This window comes from Homo sapiens, chromosome 3 (genome assembly GCF_000001405.40).
Source record: "Homo sapiens chromosome 3, GRCh38.p14 Primary Assembly".
Lineage (NCBI taxonomy): Eukaryota > Metazoa > Chordata > Mammalia > Primates > Hominidae > Homo > Homo sapiens.
The window spans coordinates 120,304,038-120,321,524 of record NC_000003.12 but is presented as its reverse complement, the minus strand read 5'-3'; the positions used below and the strand labels follow the sequence as shown (position 1 = coordinate 120,321,524).

General features: G+C 41.7%; 1 pseudogene, besides 1 other annotated feature; it reads right to left on the bottom strand.

Moving 5' to 3' along the window:
• Nucleotides 7,573-8,176: an enhancer, noted in NCBI's record as "H3K27ac-H3K4me1 hESC enhancer chr3:120032196-120032799 (GRCh37/hg19 assembly coordinates)". NCBI's record gives its function as "activates a minimal SCP1, AML or CMV promoter by ChIP-STARR-seq in naive H9 embryonic stem cells {active_cell/tissue: H9 hESC(naive)}" and the evidence as "EXISTENCE:reporter gene assay evidence [ECO:0000049][PMID:30033119]".
• PTOV1P1 (PTOV1 pseudogene 1) lies at nt 13,387-14,909 on the bottom strand (annotated as a pseudogene).

The window sequence follows — 17,487 nt, the reverse complement described above, 5'->3', positions numbered from 1 at the left end:
GGTAACTTGAGGTCAATGGAGTAGAGTTTTTCTTAATAGATAAATGGGACCAAAGTGATGAAGTGACTTGCTCAAGTTCTCTTAGATGTTGCTGTGGCTAAAATTTATTCATCTGTACCCCCAATTTTTTTTAATTGAATGCATACTTCAGACCAGGCACTGACTGCTAATCCAATGTTTTTTGCTTCTCCCTGTCAGTCACTTTTCTTCTGAACTGGAAGTGTTTTGAGGGTATATGATGTTACATTCAAATGGATTGGCCATTTTGAAGCCAGTTACAACTAAGGCAGAGTGTTCACCAAATTGTGGAAAACAAAAGCAGCAAACAGATCAACTTGACCAGAAACATTCGTGAAAGAAAGACTTGGTCAAATATTTCAGGTTATGGCCACAGGCAGGAGACAACCTTTCCATCTATGAGGAAACCCTTGTCAAGTTGTACACTGGTTTTATTGATCACAGATAAACACATAGCTAACATCATAAACAACAGTAAACAGCAAGACATTCCTAAGAACGATAAGATGTAAACATCTGCCTAGAAGATGACACTATAGTTAATCCATAAGCATAGATTCCCATGATTCTATAGAAAAGTTCAACTCAACTACAAATAAACACTATGCATAAGTTCTACCCTAGTTTCTTTCAGATTTAGTTATGAGGCTATGTAATTATTTTCCTGCTTAAATCTGGATAATAATGCAGTCTTAAGACCTCTGTAAATATATGGAAAGTTTAAATGGAAAAGAAAACTTGTTCATGATGCCATGGGAACTCTATGGAAAAGAACATATTATCGAGATAATTATTATGGGTATTTTCTCCCTATAAATAATGACTGAGTTTAAAATGTAGCTTTGGAAACTTTAAAAGTTGAACTAAAGAAAGATGTGAAATAAGTTTTTCTTCTTGAAAATTAAGCTTATTTTATACTAGAAAGCTCCCAAAATTTTAGTATTTTGTGTTAATTTTAACCCCTTTGTAAACCTGACAATGATTTCACAAGTTCTTTCTAACTTTGAGAGTCTACAATGATCTTGCTGAAAAGCTCCTTTCTATTTGTGTAGGTCTCAAATATTTGTAAATTCTTGTATCATTCACTGCACCTCTTTTAGCCATCTCTATTTAGGTCTTTTCATCTTTCCTCCTAAGCCAATGCACATGACGCTAAGGGCAGAGTTAGTAGGGTAATGAGAATTTTACCCCTAATCTGCAATTAAAATTCCACACTTTATAACACTTCCAAGGGTTTGTGGTAGTGGATGACAGATGTCAATCGGTGGTTTTGAAACAAATAATCTTAGTGTTTTATTTCTGCTGGGGCAGTATCTCATGAAAGATGTGTGTGTAATTGACCAATGGATAAGAATGAATCAGATAATTACTAGATACCTGTGGCTTAAGATGTGGCATAACTGTAATTACATTTTAAGCCCTAGTCTGCTATAGGAATTTCTTTTTTTTTATTTTAAAATAAATTTTAGTGTGTATATTTGAGGTTTACAACATGATGTTGTGGGATACATATAGATTGTAAAATGGATACTATAACAAAGCAGATTAACATATCTATCATCTTACATAGTTACTTTTTTGTGATAAGAGCAGCTAAAATCTTTTTTTAAACTTTTAAGTTCAGGGATATGTGAGCAGGTTTGTTATATACATAAACTCGTGTCACAGGGGTTTGTTGTACAGATTATTTCATCACCCAGGTACTAAGTTTAGTACCCAATAGTTATTTTTTCTGATCCTCTTCCTCCTCCCTTATTCCACCCTCAGATAGGCCCCAGTGTCTGTTCTTCTCCTTTGTGTCCATGTGCTCTCATCATTTAGCACTCAGTTATAAGTGAGAACATCAGTATTTGGCTTTCTGTTCCTGCGTTAGTTTGCAAAGGATAATGGCCTCCAACTCCATCCATATGCCTGCAAAGGACATGATCTCATTCATTTTTATGGCTGCATAGTATTCCATGGTGTATATGTATCATATTTTCTTTATCCAGTCTTTCATTGATGGGCATTTAGGTTGATTCCATGTCTTTGCTATTGTGAATAGTGCTGCAATGTACATTTGCATACATGTGTCTTTATGGTAGAATGCTTTATGTTCCTCTCAGTATGTACCCAGCAATGGGATTGCTGAGTTGGAGAGTAGTTTTGTTTTTAGCTATTTGAGGAATTGCCACACTGCTTTCCACAATGGTTGAACTAATTTACACTACCACCAATGATGTATAAGTGTTCTTTTTTTCTCCACAACCTCACCAACATCTGTTATTTTTGGACTTTAATATCCATTCTAACTGGTGTCATATGGTATCTTATTGTGGTTTTGATTTGCATTTCACTAATGATCTATACTGTTGAGCTTTTTTTCCATATGCTTGTTGGCTATGTGTATGTCTTCTTTTGAAAAGTGTCTGTTCATGTCCTTTGCCCATTTTTAAATGGGGTTGTTTGGGGTTTTTTTCCTTGTAAACTTATTTAATTTCTTTATAGATGCTGGATATTAGATCTTTGTCAGATGCATAGTTTTCAGATATTTTCTCCCATTCTGTAGGTTGTTTATTTACTCTGTTGATAGTTTCTTTTACTGTGCAGAAGCTCTTAAGTTTAGTTAGATCCCATTTGTCAATTTTTGCTTTTGCTGCTCTTGCTTTTGCATCTTCGTCGTAAAATCTCTGCCCATTCCTAGGTCCAGAATGATATTGCTTATATTGTCTTCCAGAGTTTTTATAGTTTTGGGCTTTATATTTAAGTCTTTAATCCATCTTGGGTTGATTTTTGTATTTGGTGTAAGGAAGAGGTCCAGTTTCAGTCTTCTGCCTGTGGCTAGCCAGTTACTCCATCACTATTTATTGAATAGGAAGTCCTTTCCCCATTGCCTGCTTTTGTCAGCTTTGTTGAAGATCAGATGGTTGTAGGTGTGTGGCCCTGTTTCTGAACTCTCTATTCTGTTCCATTGGTCTATGTGTCTGTTTTTGAACCAGTACTATGCTGGTACAAAACCATGTGTAGTCAGGTAGCATGATGCCTCTTGCTTTGTTCTTTTTGTTTAGGATTCCCTTGGCTATTTAGGCTCTTTTCTGGTTCCATATGAATTTTAAAATAATTTTTTTCTAATTCTGTGAAGAATGTCATTGGTAGTTTGATAGGAATAGTGCTGAATCTGTAAATTGTTTTGGACAGTATAGCCATTTTAATGATACTGATTCTTCCTATCCATGAGCATGGAATGTTTTTTCATTTGTTTGTGTCATCTCTGATTTCTTTGAGCAGTGTTTTGTAGTGCTCATTGTAGAGATCTTTCACTTTCACCTGCCTGGTTAGTTGTATTCCTAGGTATTTTATTCTTTTTGTGGCAATTGTGAATTGGATTGTGTTCCTCATTTTGTTCTCAGCTTGGCTGTTATTAGTATATTGCAATGCTGGTGATTTTTGCACATTGATTTTGTATCCTGAAACTTTGCCAAAGTTGTTTGTCAAAGGAATTTTGGGGCCAAGACTATGGAGTTTTCTAGATATAAAGTCATGTCATCTTTCAACTAGGGATAGTTTGACTTCCTCTCTTCCTATTTGGATGCCGTTTATTTCTTTCTTTTGCCTGATTGCTCTGGCCAGGAATTTCAATATTATGTTTAATAGGAGTGGTGAGAGAGGGCATCTTTGTTTTGTGCCACTTTTCAAAGGGAATGCTTCCAGCTTTTGCCCTTCAGTATAATGTTGGCTGTGGGTTTGTCATAGATGGCTCTTATTTTGAGGTATGTTCCTTCAATACCTAGTTCGTTGAGAGTTTTTAACATGAAGGGATGTTGAATTTTATGGAAAGCCTTTTCTGCATCTATTGAGATGATCATGTGGTTTTTGTCTAGTTATGTTTATGTGATGAATCACATTTATTGGTTTGTATATGTTAAACTAACCTTGCATCCCAGGGATAGAGCCTACTTGATAGTGGTGGATTAGCTTTTGCTGCTGGATTTGGTTTGCTGGTATTTTGTTGCGGATTTTTCCATCAATGTTCAACAAGAATATTGGCCTGAAGTTTTCTTTTTTGTGTGTGTCTCTGCCATGTTTTGGTATGAAGATGATGCTGGCTTCATAGAATGAGTTGAGGAGGAGTCTCTCCTTCTCAGTTTTTGGGAATAGTTTCAGTAGAAGTGGTATCGGCTCTTCTTTGTATATTTGGTAAAAATTGGCTGTGAATCCATCTGGTCCTGGGCCTTTTTTGATTGGTTGGCTATTTGTTACAGATTCAATTTCAGAGCTTGTTATTAGTCTGTTCAGGGATTCAGTTTCTTCCTAGTTCAGTCTTACGAGGCTGTATGTATCTAGGAATTTGTCCATTTCTTCTAGTCTGGAGGAATAGAGTTGTTCATAGTAGTCTCTGATAGTTATTTGTACTTCTGTAGGGTCAGTAGTAATATCCTCCTTGTCCTTTCTAATTTTGTTTAGTTGGATCTTCTTTATTTTCTTCTTTATTAGTCTAGCTAGCAGTCTATCTTACTAACTTTTTCAAAAAGTCAGCTCCTAGATTCACTGATCTTTTGAATTTTTTGTGTCTCAATTGTCTTCAGTTCAGCTCTGATTTTGCTTATTTATTGTCTTCTGCTAAGCTTGGGGTTGGTTTTCTCTTGCTTCTCTAGTTATTTAGTTATGATAGGCTGGAATACAGTGGTGTGATCTCAGCTCACTAGAACCTCTGTTTCCAGGGTTCAAGCAATTCTCCTGCCTCAGCCTCCTGCGTAACTGGGATCACAGGCATGCACCACCACGCCTGGCTAATTTTTGTATTTTTAGTAGAGACAGTTTCACCATGTTGGCCAGGCTGGTCTCAAACTCATGACCTCAAGTGATCTGCTGTCTTAGCCTCCCAAAATGCTGGGATTACAAGTATGAGCCACTGCACCCAGCCATCTTTCTAACTTTTTGATGTGGGCATTTAGTGCTATAAATTTCCCTCTTAATACTGCCTTAGCTGTGTCCCAGAGATTCTGGTATGTTGTTTTTTTGTTCTCATTAGTTTCAAAGAACTTCTTGATTTCTGCCTTAATTTAATTGTTTACCAAAAGTCATTCAGGAGCATGTTGTTTGATTTCAAAGTAATCGTATGGTTTTGAGCAATTTTGTTAGTCTTGAGTTCTATTTTTATTGCATTGTGGTCTGAGAGAGTGGTTGGTGTAATTTTGGGGTTTTTGCATTTGGTGAGAATTGTTTTATGTCCAAGTGTGTGGTTGATATAGAATGTGTGTTGATGAGAAGAATGTATTTTCTGTTGTTTTTGTATGGACAGTTCTGTAGATGTCCATGAGGTCCATTTGGTCCAGTGTTGAGTTCAGGTCCTGATTATCTTTGTTCATTTTCTGCTTCAATGATCTGTCTAATACTGTTAATGGGGCATTGAAGCCTCCCCCTATTATTGTGTGGGGGTCTAAGTTTCTTTGAAGGTCTCTAGGAACTTGCTCTATGAATCTGGGTGCTCCTGTGTTGGGTGCATATATATTCAGGAGAGCTAGGTCTTCTTGTTGAATTGAACCCTTTACCATTATGGAATGTCCTCTTTGTCTTTTTTGATCTTTGTTGGTTTAAAGTATGTTTTGTATGAAGTTAGGATTACAATTCCTATTTTTTTTTATTTTTGTTCTTGTTTGCTTGGTAAATTTTTCTCCATCCCTTAATTTTGAGCCTATGGGTGTCATTGCATATAATATGGGTTTCTTGACGACAGCATACTATTGTGTCTTGCTTCTTTATCCAGCTTGCCACTCTGTCTCTTTAACTTGGAGCATTTAGTCGATTTACATTCAAAGTTAGTATTGATATGTGTGGATTTGATCCTGTCTTCATGTCATTACCTGTTTATTATGCTGACTTCTTTGTGTGGTTGCTTTATAGTGTCACTGGTCTGTGTACTTAAGAGTGTTTTTATAGTAGCTTGTAATGGTCTTTCCATATTTAGTGCCTCTTTCAGGAGCTCTTTTGAGGGAGGTCTGGTGGTAACAAATTCCCTCAGCATTTGCAATTTCTTATTTCTCCTTTGCTTATGAAGTTTAGTTTGGGCAGACAAGAAATTCTTAGTTGGAATTTATTTTCTCTAAGAATGTTGAATATAGGCCCCAATCTCTTCTGGCTTATAGGGTCTCTGCCAAGAGGTCTGCTGTTAGTTGGATGGGCTTCCCTTTGTAGGTGACCTGGCCTTTCTCTCTAGTTGCCTTTAAATTTTTTTCTTTCATTTCGACCTTGGAGAATCTGATGATTACGTGTCTAGGGGATGATCTTCTTGTGAAGTATCTTACTGTGTTTCTTTGCATTTCCTGAATTTGAATGTTGGCCTCTCTAGCTAGGTTGGGGAAATTCTCTTGGATGATATCCTGAAATATATGTTCCAAATTGGTACCATTCTCCAAATTGGTACCAGTCTCTCTTTCAGGGACATCAGTGAGTCATAGATTTGGTCTCTTTGCATAATCCCTCATTTCTTGGAGGTTTTGTTTATTCCTTTTCAATATTTTTTCTTTATTCTTGTCTGTCTTCAGAATGTCAGTCTTTAAGCTCTGAGATTCTTTCCTTAGCTTGGTTTATTGTGCTATTAATTACAATTGCATTATGAAGTTCTTGTAGAGTGTTTTTCAGTTCTTTCAGGTTGGTTATATTCTTTCTATACTGGGTACTTTGTCTGCCAGCTCTGTATCATTTAATTGTGATTCTTAGCTTCCTTAGATTGGGTTTCAACATTCTCCTGAACCTCAATGATCATTCCTATCCATATTCTGAATTCTATTTCTGTCATTTCAGCCATCTCAGCCAGGTAAGAACCCTTGCTGGAGAACAAGTACAGTTGTTTGGAGGAATGAAGGCACTCTGGCTTTTTGAGTTGTCAGAGTTATGGTGCTGGTTTTTTCTTATATTTGTGGGCTTTTATTCTTTCCATCTTTGAAGTTGCTGTCTTTTTTGTCTTTATCCTATTTGGTGACCTTGGGGACCTGATTATAGTAGTGTTGGGTTCAGGTGACTGACTTCATTTCTGGAAGATTTTAGGGGGCCAAGCTTCAGCTCAGGACTCCTGGACTGCATGTTCTAACTCTGGGAGACTGGTATTGAGCCCCAACTTTGTTCTCTGGCTCCTCGAGGTTATGAACCTATTGTGCTGGAGGGGCCAAGGTGTTCCCAGACTACTGGTCACAATACTCTAATGGGTGATGCCATCCAAAGCACATCATAGCAGGGTGACAGTGTGATCTGTCCTAATTTGCCTGTGCCAGCTGCAGCAGCAGCAGCAGCATGGTGGGATGCATACTGCATGCTCATCAGCTACAGCAGGGTACTAGTGGGTACTAGGGTGGCAGCCTTCATGGGGCTGTGTGCATGTTCCTCTGGTGGTGGTATTAGTACAGGGTTGGGGCACTGGAGGGTGCAGGACTGTGTGAGGTCTCTGTGCACATTCACACCCACAGCAGTGGCTGGTCAGAGCAAGGGTGGGTTCACTATTCTCCATGACTAGTTATGTGCCAGTGGCAGTGTTGGCACAGAGGCAGGGCACTTGCAGGGGTAGGACTGGCAAGCTCCATGCTCACCACCATCTGACAACAATGGCATTGTGACGGGGGAGGGGAGCAGGGTGCAGTCACCCTGGCAGCAGTGACATGGCAGGGTGCACACACCCACACATACTGGCAGGGAAGGTAAGGCAAAGTCTGCCTTCATACACATACACTGGCACAGTGATGCAGGGGGTGGCTGTGGGCAAGTGCATGCAGTCAAAGTGGCATGGGGGAGGCTGCAGTGGAGGGAGGGCACAGGCAGGCTGGTGTGTGTCCATAGGGGCCACTCTGCTGGAGCACTCTGCTGGTCAGACAAGGTCTGCCAGTCTTCGGATGTCCTAGTCCCTTGGGGGGAGATGTTCCTCCTGGCTGCGTGTAGTTGGCCATCTTAGAGAGAGAGCCAGGAATTTCTTTCTAGTTCTAAGAAAACATAGAATCAAAGGATTAGCAGCAAGAACTTGAGAAGTCATCATCACACCACTTTTTGCAAAAGGACAATTAATCCATTAGGGTAAAAACATATCCTATGTTTAAATAACTCCCAGAAGATTTTTCTTCTTTAGGAATTCTGAAGCTTAACAATGGTCACTAAAGGAAGCATTTTCTTTCTTTTCTTTCTTTCTTTCTTTTTTTTGAGACGTTTGAAACAAGAGTTTTGCTCTTGTTGCCCAGGCTGGAGTGCAATGGTGCAATCTCAGCTCACTGCAACCTCCACCTCCTGGGTTCAAGTGATTCTCCTGCCTCAGCCTCCCAAGTAGCTGGGATTACAGGCATGTGCTGCCAAGCCTGGCTAATTTTGTATTTTTAGTAGAGACAAGTTTTCTCCATGTTGGTCAAGCTGGTCTCGAACTCCTGACCTCAGGTGATCCACCCGCCTTGGCCTCCCAAAGTGCTGGGATTACAGGCATGAGCCACCACACCCAGCCAAAGGAAGTATTTTCTAAGGTTCTTGTGATTTGTGCTAGCCATATTAGATGTGCAGATAACTTTTAAATTGTTTATGTCATCAGAGAAGCACAGTGACACTAAGACGTGTGCACTACCCATTATGTTATTTTTGTACCTTGGTCTGGCTCTAAAATCTTGCTGCTCTCACTTTCTCCCAATCCACAGTTCTTCCCACCACTATAAACGTCAAGGCACACAGGAGTTGTTAGGGACAGACTCCCCCAAGAAAGCTTCTTGGTGCTGCCCACACTTCCCCCAAGTCTCTTTACATTTCTAAGCCCTTGTCTAGGCACCACGGTGAAGCCAGCAGACTTCACTTATCAGACCTTGCTGCAGTAAGCAAACCCCAATTACAAACCATCTGGACCGCACAGTGGGAGGTCGTGGGAAGCATAAACAAACTACCTACACCCTCCTATAATAAACCTCACAAGGTGATATGTGGCAAAATTAACCCCATTGAATCCTTTCTTGAAATTCTTTAACATAGTTCCTAACAAGGTAGGCTTACTTTGTGTTTTACTCATTTTCCTCAGGAGACAAAACAACACTCTTACCACAAAGAGGGAAGGGAAAAAGGGGCAAAAAGTCACTCACTCACCAAGCAATTCACACTAAAACCAAAGTATGGATAAGGAGTTACTTATTCATCAAGCAATTTGAGCCAAGTCAGAACCGAAATCAAAGCCAAAACAGTTCAAAACCAAAAGTCAATACTGAAATCTAAACCAAAACAGTGCAAATCTAGTCAAAATCAAAACCAAAACCAAGGTGCCAAAAAGGCACGCCATGGGTGATCAGGCCACACTTCCACTCAGATGGAGTGGGCAAGTTCGAAGACCGGTCTTACCGTGTTCCAGATGTCCGGACTCCAAGCGCCAATTCCTTCCCGGTGTTCAGCCGCTGCATTAATCCTCCGCGGGGGCCTACCGTGCAGTGCTCTGGAGGCGTTCCACTGGGGCAATTGCCTACCGGGGAGCGCTCTCAGGATTCGCATCGCCAAAGCTGGCCAGAGTCTCCCACAGGGATGCTCCACTGGGCAGGCCTAAGCCGCCTAAGGGGCTGCCTCGACCATCCGCTTATCACCTTGCTTCCAGATCAGGGAACCAAGAAATGTAGCAGGACAAGCCACAGACAAAACCCCTCAGACACCGAGTTGAGGAAGGAAAGGGCTTTATTGGCCAGGAGCATCAGCAGACTTATGTCTCAAAAAAACCGAGCTCCCCGAGTGAGCAATTCCTGTCCCTTTTAAGGGCTTACAACTCTAAGGAGGTCGAGTGAGAGGGTCATGATCGATTGAGCAAGCAGGGGGTACCTGACTGGGGGCTGCATGCACCGGTAATCAGAATGGAACAGAACAGGACAGGGATTTTCACGATGCTTTTCCATACAATGTCTGGGACACAAGCAGTTAAGTCAGGAGTTGATTGTTAACTACTAGGCCCAAGGCACGTTGCTGGGCTGCCTGCCTGTGGATTTCATTTCTGCCCTTCAGTTTTTAATTCTTTTTTCTTTGGAGGCAGAAATTGGGCATAAGACAATAAGAGGGGTGTTCTCCTCCCTTACTATGACTCCTGCTTCTCAGGATACTCCACAACCAATCATGAGCCCCACTGAGTCAACAAAGCAAAAAACAATATATTAATATCTAAAGGAAAAAAAAAAGAAATAAAAGATTTTGCAACTTCAAATTCCTTACATGAGTGAAAGGAGATGATCACTGTTGAGACCCAAATTAGTGGGCTAGATGATCAAATGGGGAAAATAGCTTAGAACAAGGAGGAAAGATATAAAGTATAAAAGGAAAATATCTTAGGCCCCCAGAATCACTAAGGAAAACTCAAGCTGGAAACTGCTTAGGGCAAACATGCCTCCCGTTTTATTCAAAGTCACTCCTCTGCTCACCGACATAGATACATATCTGACTTACCCTCCTTTGGAAAGGCTAATCAGAAACTCAAAAAAATGTAACCATTTGTGTATCACCTATCTGTGACCTGGAAGCTCCCTCCCTGCTTCCTGCCTTTAGTTCAAGTTGTCCTGCCTTTCCAGACTGAACCAATGTACTTCTTACATACATTGATTAATGTCTCATGTCTCCCCAAATGTATAAAGCCAAGCTTTGCCCTGACCACTGTGGGCACATGTCATCAGGACTTCCTGAAGCTGTGTCATGACGCATCCTCAACCTTGGCAAAATAAACTTTCTAAATTAATTGAGACCTGTTTCAGATTTTCTGGGTTCACAAAAGCAATTAAAATCATGAGAGAAAGGATATGTGACATTTTGAGGATAGATCCAAGAAGTTTAGCATATTATATTGGGAGATCCAGATGGGGAAAAAGACACATAGAAGGAAAAGCAACATAAGAAAGGAGAAAAATTTTTGGACCAAGAAATACCTGAATCTACAGATTAAATGGATTCAACAAGTCCAGGCTTGATTGATAAATTCACACACACACACACACCCTTAGCAATATTCTGGAAAGATTCTGGAACTCTAAGGAAAAAAAGAAATCTTTACAAACTTTTCCACTCAGAAAAAATAAATTGCCTTATTAATTATAATGCAAACAGAATCAGACTTCTTGTGCATCAGCAGCAGCTAGAAGTTAGTGGAATATCTGCAGACTTCTGAAATGCAAGGACTCCAACTCAAGAATTTCTTGACCAGCCAAAGAATCATTTAGTTGTCAGAGTGATAGGAAGAAATTATTTGTAGGTATGTATGAAGTCAAAGACTAATGCCTACATTTTCCCACCCTAAGAAAATACTTAAGAAGTGACTCTAGCCAGATGATAGATTAACCATAAGAGAAACTACAAGATGATAAAGAAGGGAAGAAATGGTAGAGATATAGGAGCTGAAAAGAAATTATTTAGGCAGTTAGTGAGGGTAAGAGAGTCCTCGGTGAGGCTTCACTTTTAACAAAAAACAGCCCCAAAACCATTTCTTTTCTAACAAACAGCAGCCAGTAAAATCGAGCTGCAGACATAGATAAGCAAGCTGGAAGCTTGTGCAGGTGAATGCCGGCAGCTGTGCCAATAGGAAAAGGCTATCTGGGGCCAGGCATGTTCAACATGGAAGCTCCATCTTCCATTTTCTTTGTCACCATGTGTGCAGTAAAGAAACAGGGAACATGGTGCCAGCCAGGTAGAAAATTCCTTTGCATAATAAAAGATTAGGGTGCAGTGGCCAGCCTCTTCAGATGCTATACAAATGACACACCTGGTCCAACCAATTCTCTGCACCCTCTGCAAATCAGACACCACCTCCTCAAGCCCATCCGTAAAACCAGCCGCATCTTGCCAGGTTCCGGGAGATCCGTTTGGAACCCCCTCCCTCTGCACAAGGGAGCTTTTCTCTTTTGCCTATTAAACTTTCACTCTTAAACTCACTCCTTCTTAGTCCGTTTCCTTGATTTCCTTGGTGTGAGGCAATGAACCTGGGGTATTACCCCAGACAAACAACACTGCTTCAGTAGTGAGCAACAAAATGTAGAACAAATAAATCAATATAAAGACATATATAGACAAAAGATATCTAGATAATTACAGATGGAGAATGTGTAAGTGCAGATACAAAACAACATAATAGCTAGATATATGAAGCAAAACCTGTAAGAAATAAAAGAAGAATTTGATTAAATAAAATTATATTGGAAAACTTAAACTTTTTTTTCAGAATTGGATAAATTTGGTATATAGCAAATGTGGGATGGCATAGGAATTAAATAATACAATTAATAAATGATGTGGTATCTATGTGTAAGCTCTAACATCCCTCGAACTACAAGAAAACATGTTTTCGTACCGATAGAATATTTACAAAAGTCAGTCATATTTGACCAAGAAGAAAACCTTAACAGACTCTAAAAACCACATTCCTTTATTTCAAGCCAACAGATTGAAAACAAATAATGTAAAGATAGTAAGAAACCACACACAGAAAAAAATTTTTTAAATTATAAAATATCTATAAAGCAATGAAAAAGAGAACACTTTTTACCAAAATCCAAATGACACAGTGGAAATTACTCAGAAGAAAATGTGTACATTAAAGTTTTCATAAAATAATATAAAAATAATATTAGATTTCATTTCAAGAAATTAGAAAAAAAGAGCAACAAAGTCAATTTTTAAAAATTAGAAAGAGAGCCGGGCACAGTGGCTCATGCCTGTAATCCCAGCACTTTGGGAGGCCGAGGTGGGCAGATCACGAGGTCAAGAGTTTCAGTCCACCCTGGCCAACATGGTGAAACCCCGTCTCTACTAAAAAAAAATACAAAAATTAGCCGGGCGTGGTGGCGGGCGCCTGTAGTCCCAGCTACTGTAGTCCCAGCTACTCGGGAGGCTGAGGCAGAAGAATCGCTTGATCCCGGAGGCGCAGGTTGTAGTGAGCCGAGATCACGCAACTGCACTCCAGCCTGGGCGACAGTGAGACTCTGCCTCAAAAAAAAAAAAAAAAAAAAGAAAAGAAAGAATGTATAAAGACAAAAGCTAAAATTATTTTAATAGAAAACAGTAGAATGTACAAATAAATACAAAATCCTTTGCAAAAGATGAAAAAGATCTGGTCTGATTAAGAAAAAAGACTGAGCAAAAGTAACAAAATTAAAAATTCTGTAGAAAACTACAAATTAGGAGAAATTAAAAGTTTAATAAGAGAAACCCATAGCAACAAACTGGAATCCTAAAGAAAATAGCTGATTTCCTAGTAAAAATACAAATTACCAAAATTGACTCTGAAATAAGGATAGTATAAATAGAACAAGTAGCACAGAAAAATTTTAAATTGTCCTTAAAAGTCTTGCATTGGGAAAGATCCCACGATTACGTGGGTTCACAGCTGAGTGTTAGTTGACTTTTTACGAATTTTTTTTTTTTGGTTTTTAAAAGGCTTTATTGGGGAAACGTACAGGGGTGAGGACCGTCCTTGGAAGCCTCAGGACGCCATCCTCCATGTTGCTGGGCAATCGAAGTCCCCAGGGGCCCCTGCTCAGAAGCGTGTCACCAGTCTCTGCCGGGGCCTCGTCTGTGACTCCTGGAGGGGCCCAGCCCTGGGTAGCCACTACCCTCCATTCCTTGCTGCTGCTGCTCCTGCTCCAGGTTCCACTGCAGGACCTGCTGCTGGTAGGCAATGACTTGCCGTATGCCGTTGAGGAAGTTGCCCTGGTCACGGAGGATGAGGCCGATGAAGATTTTCTTCTCAGAGGAGTACAGGAGCATGAGCACGCGGATCTCGCACAACACTTTGTAGGAAAAATGCACTCAGCCGGCGAAGCCATTGTCCTTGATCTGGCACAGGCTCTTCAGCGTCTCCAGGTCCTTGGTGAAGTGGAACTGCACCAGGCGCGAGTTCCGCAACAGCAGCACAGGGTGGTCAGCAGCTGCTGCGGGATGAGCTGCATTTACAGCTTCCTCGGCCACTGGTCGGTCCTCATGATCTCCCCCTGGTTCACGTAGACGTGGGACGGCAGCCACCTCTTGGATCGACTTTTGGGCTCAGGCCTGGGTTCCTGCCACTCCATGACGCCTCTCCACACCAGGAACTTGTTGTTGACGATCTGGACTGGGCCTGAGTTGACACTACCAGGTCCCACTGCTTGCTTGCGAGTAGTGATGACCTGCCGGATGGCGCTGACGAAGCCGCTCTGGTCGTAGGGGATGAAGCCCATGAAGATCTTCCTCTTGGAAGAGTACAGGAGCATGCGCACGCACATCTCGCAGGGGGAGATGTGGGGAAACAGCGTGCAGCCCGCGAAGCCGTTGCCCATGATGCGGCAGAGCCCACTGAGCAAGCAGCAGTCTCGGTTAGTGAAGTGGAACTGTGCCAGCCGGGAGTTGCGGAACAGGGGTCCCAGGGTGGTCATCAGCTGCTGCGGGATCAGCTGCATGATCAGCTTCTGCTGCCACTGGTTGGTCTCCAGGTTCTCGCCTTGGTTCACGTAGGCTTGGCGGGGCAGGGTCCGCCTCAACTTTATAGTGGAGTCACAGTAGGGTCTGCGCTTCTCCTGTCACTCGAGGACGCCGCTCCAGGCCAGCAGCCTGTTGCTGAGCCGGTGCTCGCTCACGGCCAGGCCCCCGAGGGTGAGCCCAGGTGAGGAGGGACCGATGGGACCCAGCGCCCCGAAGACAAGAGCACCTTCCACGGGAGGGGCCGAGCAGGCCCGGATCTGCAGAGACTGCGGGCCTCGGGGGCTGGCTGGCCAGGAGCGGGAGCGGACAGCGCGCACTATGAGGGGCCGCGAGGGGGTCCCCGGCGCCGGAGCGGTACGGGGCCCGGCGCGGACGGACCATGGCGGGCGCGGGCCTAGCGGGCAGGGAGCTGCTACGGGCCACATTGGGGGCTGCGGGCTCTATCGACTGAGGGGCGCGGGCTCGCGGCTTCGGGGGAGACTGGCTGAGCCGTACCAAGCACAGGGGACGCGCCGCCGCAGAGAGGTAGCTGCGGCCGAACCACTGCAACTTCTACTGAATTATAATGTTATTTTAAATGGTCAAGGCCTAGAAAAGAAAAAGGGACTTTGATTCATTTCATAGTTTAATATTAATATAGTTAACATAGTTCATCTAATCTGCCAATGATTATAAAACTCACATTATGTACCATTACGCTTCTTAGCACTTAGAATTTTTATTTTAAGTTTACTGAAAGCACTGCTTTGGGTTTTTCTTTCTTTCTTTTTTTCTGAGACGGAGTCTCGCTCAGTAGCCTAGGCTGGAGTGCAGTGGCGAGATCTCGGCTCACTGCAAACTCCGCCTCCCGGGTTCATGCCATTCTCCTGGCTCAGCTTCCGGAGTAGCTGGGACTACAGGCGCCCGCCACCACGCCCAGCTAATTTTTTTGTATTTTTAGTAGAGATGGGGTTTCACTGTATTAGCCAGGATGGTCTGGATCTCCTGACCTCGTGATCCGCCCACTTGGGATTACAGGCATCAGCCACCGCGCCTGGCCTGCTTTGGGCTTATTTTAAGAGATTTTTGAACATCTATCATTCTTCAGCTTTTTTTTTTTTTTTTTTTTTTTTTTTTTTGAGACAGTCTCACTCTGGTCATCCAGGCTGGAGTGCAGTGGCACGTTCTCGGCTCACTGCAACCTCTGCCTCCTGGTTCAAGCAATTCTCTTGCCTCAACTGGGATTACAGGCATGTGCCACCACGTCTGGCTAATTTTTTTTTTTTTTTTAAAGTAGAGATGGGGTTTCACCATGTTGGCCAGGCTGGTCTCGAACTCCTGGCCTCAGGTGATGCGCCCGCCTTGGCCTCCCAAAGTGCTGGGATTACAGGCCTGAGCCACCGCGCCTGGCCTCATTCTTCTTCATTTATAAAAAAGGAAATAGCTTCATGCTCAGAGTTTTGCTCTTTTGGATCACTTTCCAAGTCAAAGCTGCTGATGTCAGCATTTCTCTATGTAATACTGTCCTCTGTACCAAAAAGCAAGAGTAATAAGACCTTTTCCAAAAGAAGCATCCATTATCGTCTCTGTGATTTTTTCCAAACTTCTGACGTTCCGTTGGCAAGTTTTGATGCCGTAGCTTTCTTGTTCTTGCCAGCAGGTGTCAATGGAAGGTTTCAGGCAAGTTCACACAGGCACAGGCACAGGCACAGGTGATGATAACTGTCATGACAGCCCTGGCCAACAGCAATCATCAGCCTTATCCTGATTTCAGAGATGTTAAAATGTGAAAAAATATGCATCATGGAATCAATGAAATGTAGTAGTACACAACCAGAAAATTTTTAACCTCACACATGGAATACAGGCACAATCATCCTAGATATTAGCAACTGGAACCCTGCAATGTATCTACAGAATAACGACCAAATACCCAGACCTTTATTTTGAGAAGCAGTTGGGCAGTTAACAGGAAGAGAAATTGAGTGAAGATAATGAAGTCATGCCCAGAACGTTATTGCTGCTGGTGTAACTTTTTTTTTTTTTTTTTTTTTTTTTTTTTAGAAAAACAGTATTTGCCTGGAGACCCAAGTTACAATCCTGGCTTAGTCATGTACCATCCATGTGACTTGGACCAACAGAAGTCATTCCTTGGTCCTGTGTCTCCAAGTAAAAGGAGAGCTTCCCTAAGGTTCTTTTCAGCTCTGATATTCAAGGAGTCCATGAGTCCAGGACAGTTTCTCATCTACCAGGAATCCAGCTCAGGTTTTATATAGGATCTGTACAAGTTAAACCTTGGTTACTCAGGTAGAAAACTGGTCACACTGCCCAATAAATCCTCCTGCTCTCTAATTTCACCCAGTGCAGAGTCTAATCAACAGCTCGAATAGAAATAAAATATTACCAGATTCCCCTCCCCAACTTATTTCAGACAAATGGGCTCCTTTCTGAACCCAAGCCTAGGTAGGCCTCCTACGCAAATCGCCTTCAGGCAGCGTCAACAGGCAGAGCCTTGAGCCTGTTTCTACTGCCACCCTGCAGCTTCTCACGCACTCAGACACTCTCTTCCCGTGACTTCTTAATTCCCCTCTTGATATTTCTTTTATTTAAAATAAATTTACATATATTGTTTACTAAAAAAATTAAATGGAAAAATATACATAACCTCAAATTTACCAATTTAACCATTTTTAAGTGTCCAGTTAGGTGGCATTAAGCACATTCACATTGGTGTGCAACCTATTTACTTTTTCCATTAAAAAAATTATATGCCCTTACTAACAAATGCAAATATCTTCTAAAGGTAAAAAATGAAAACTGAAGGTCTCCCAGTCATTCTTTCCTAAGGAAATTACTTGAGTTTCTTGTGGATCCTTCTAGCAATTAATATACATGTGTGTACTATTTCGTATTTATACAGGCAGTTTTTATTTTTAAAGATTTATACACATTGTGTTGCCCCTTGCTTTTATATTTAATAAAATATTTTGGAGCTGTTTCTATGTTAACACACATGGCTCTATCTCATTCTTTTCATTGTTTTTAAATGCGTGATTATGAGATAATTTAACAGGTATCCAATTGATGTTA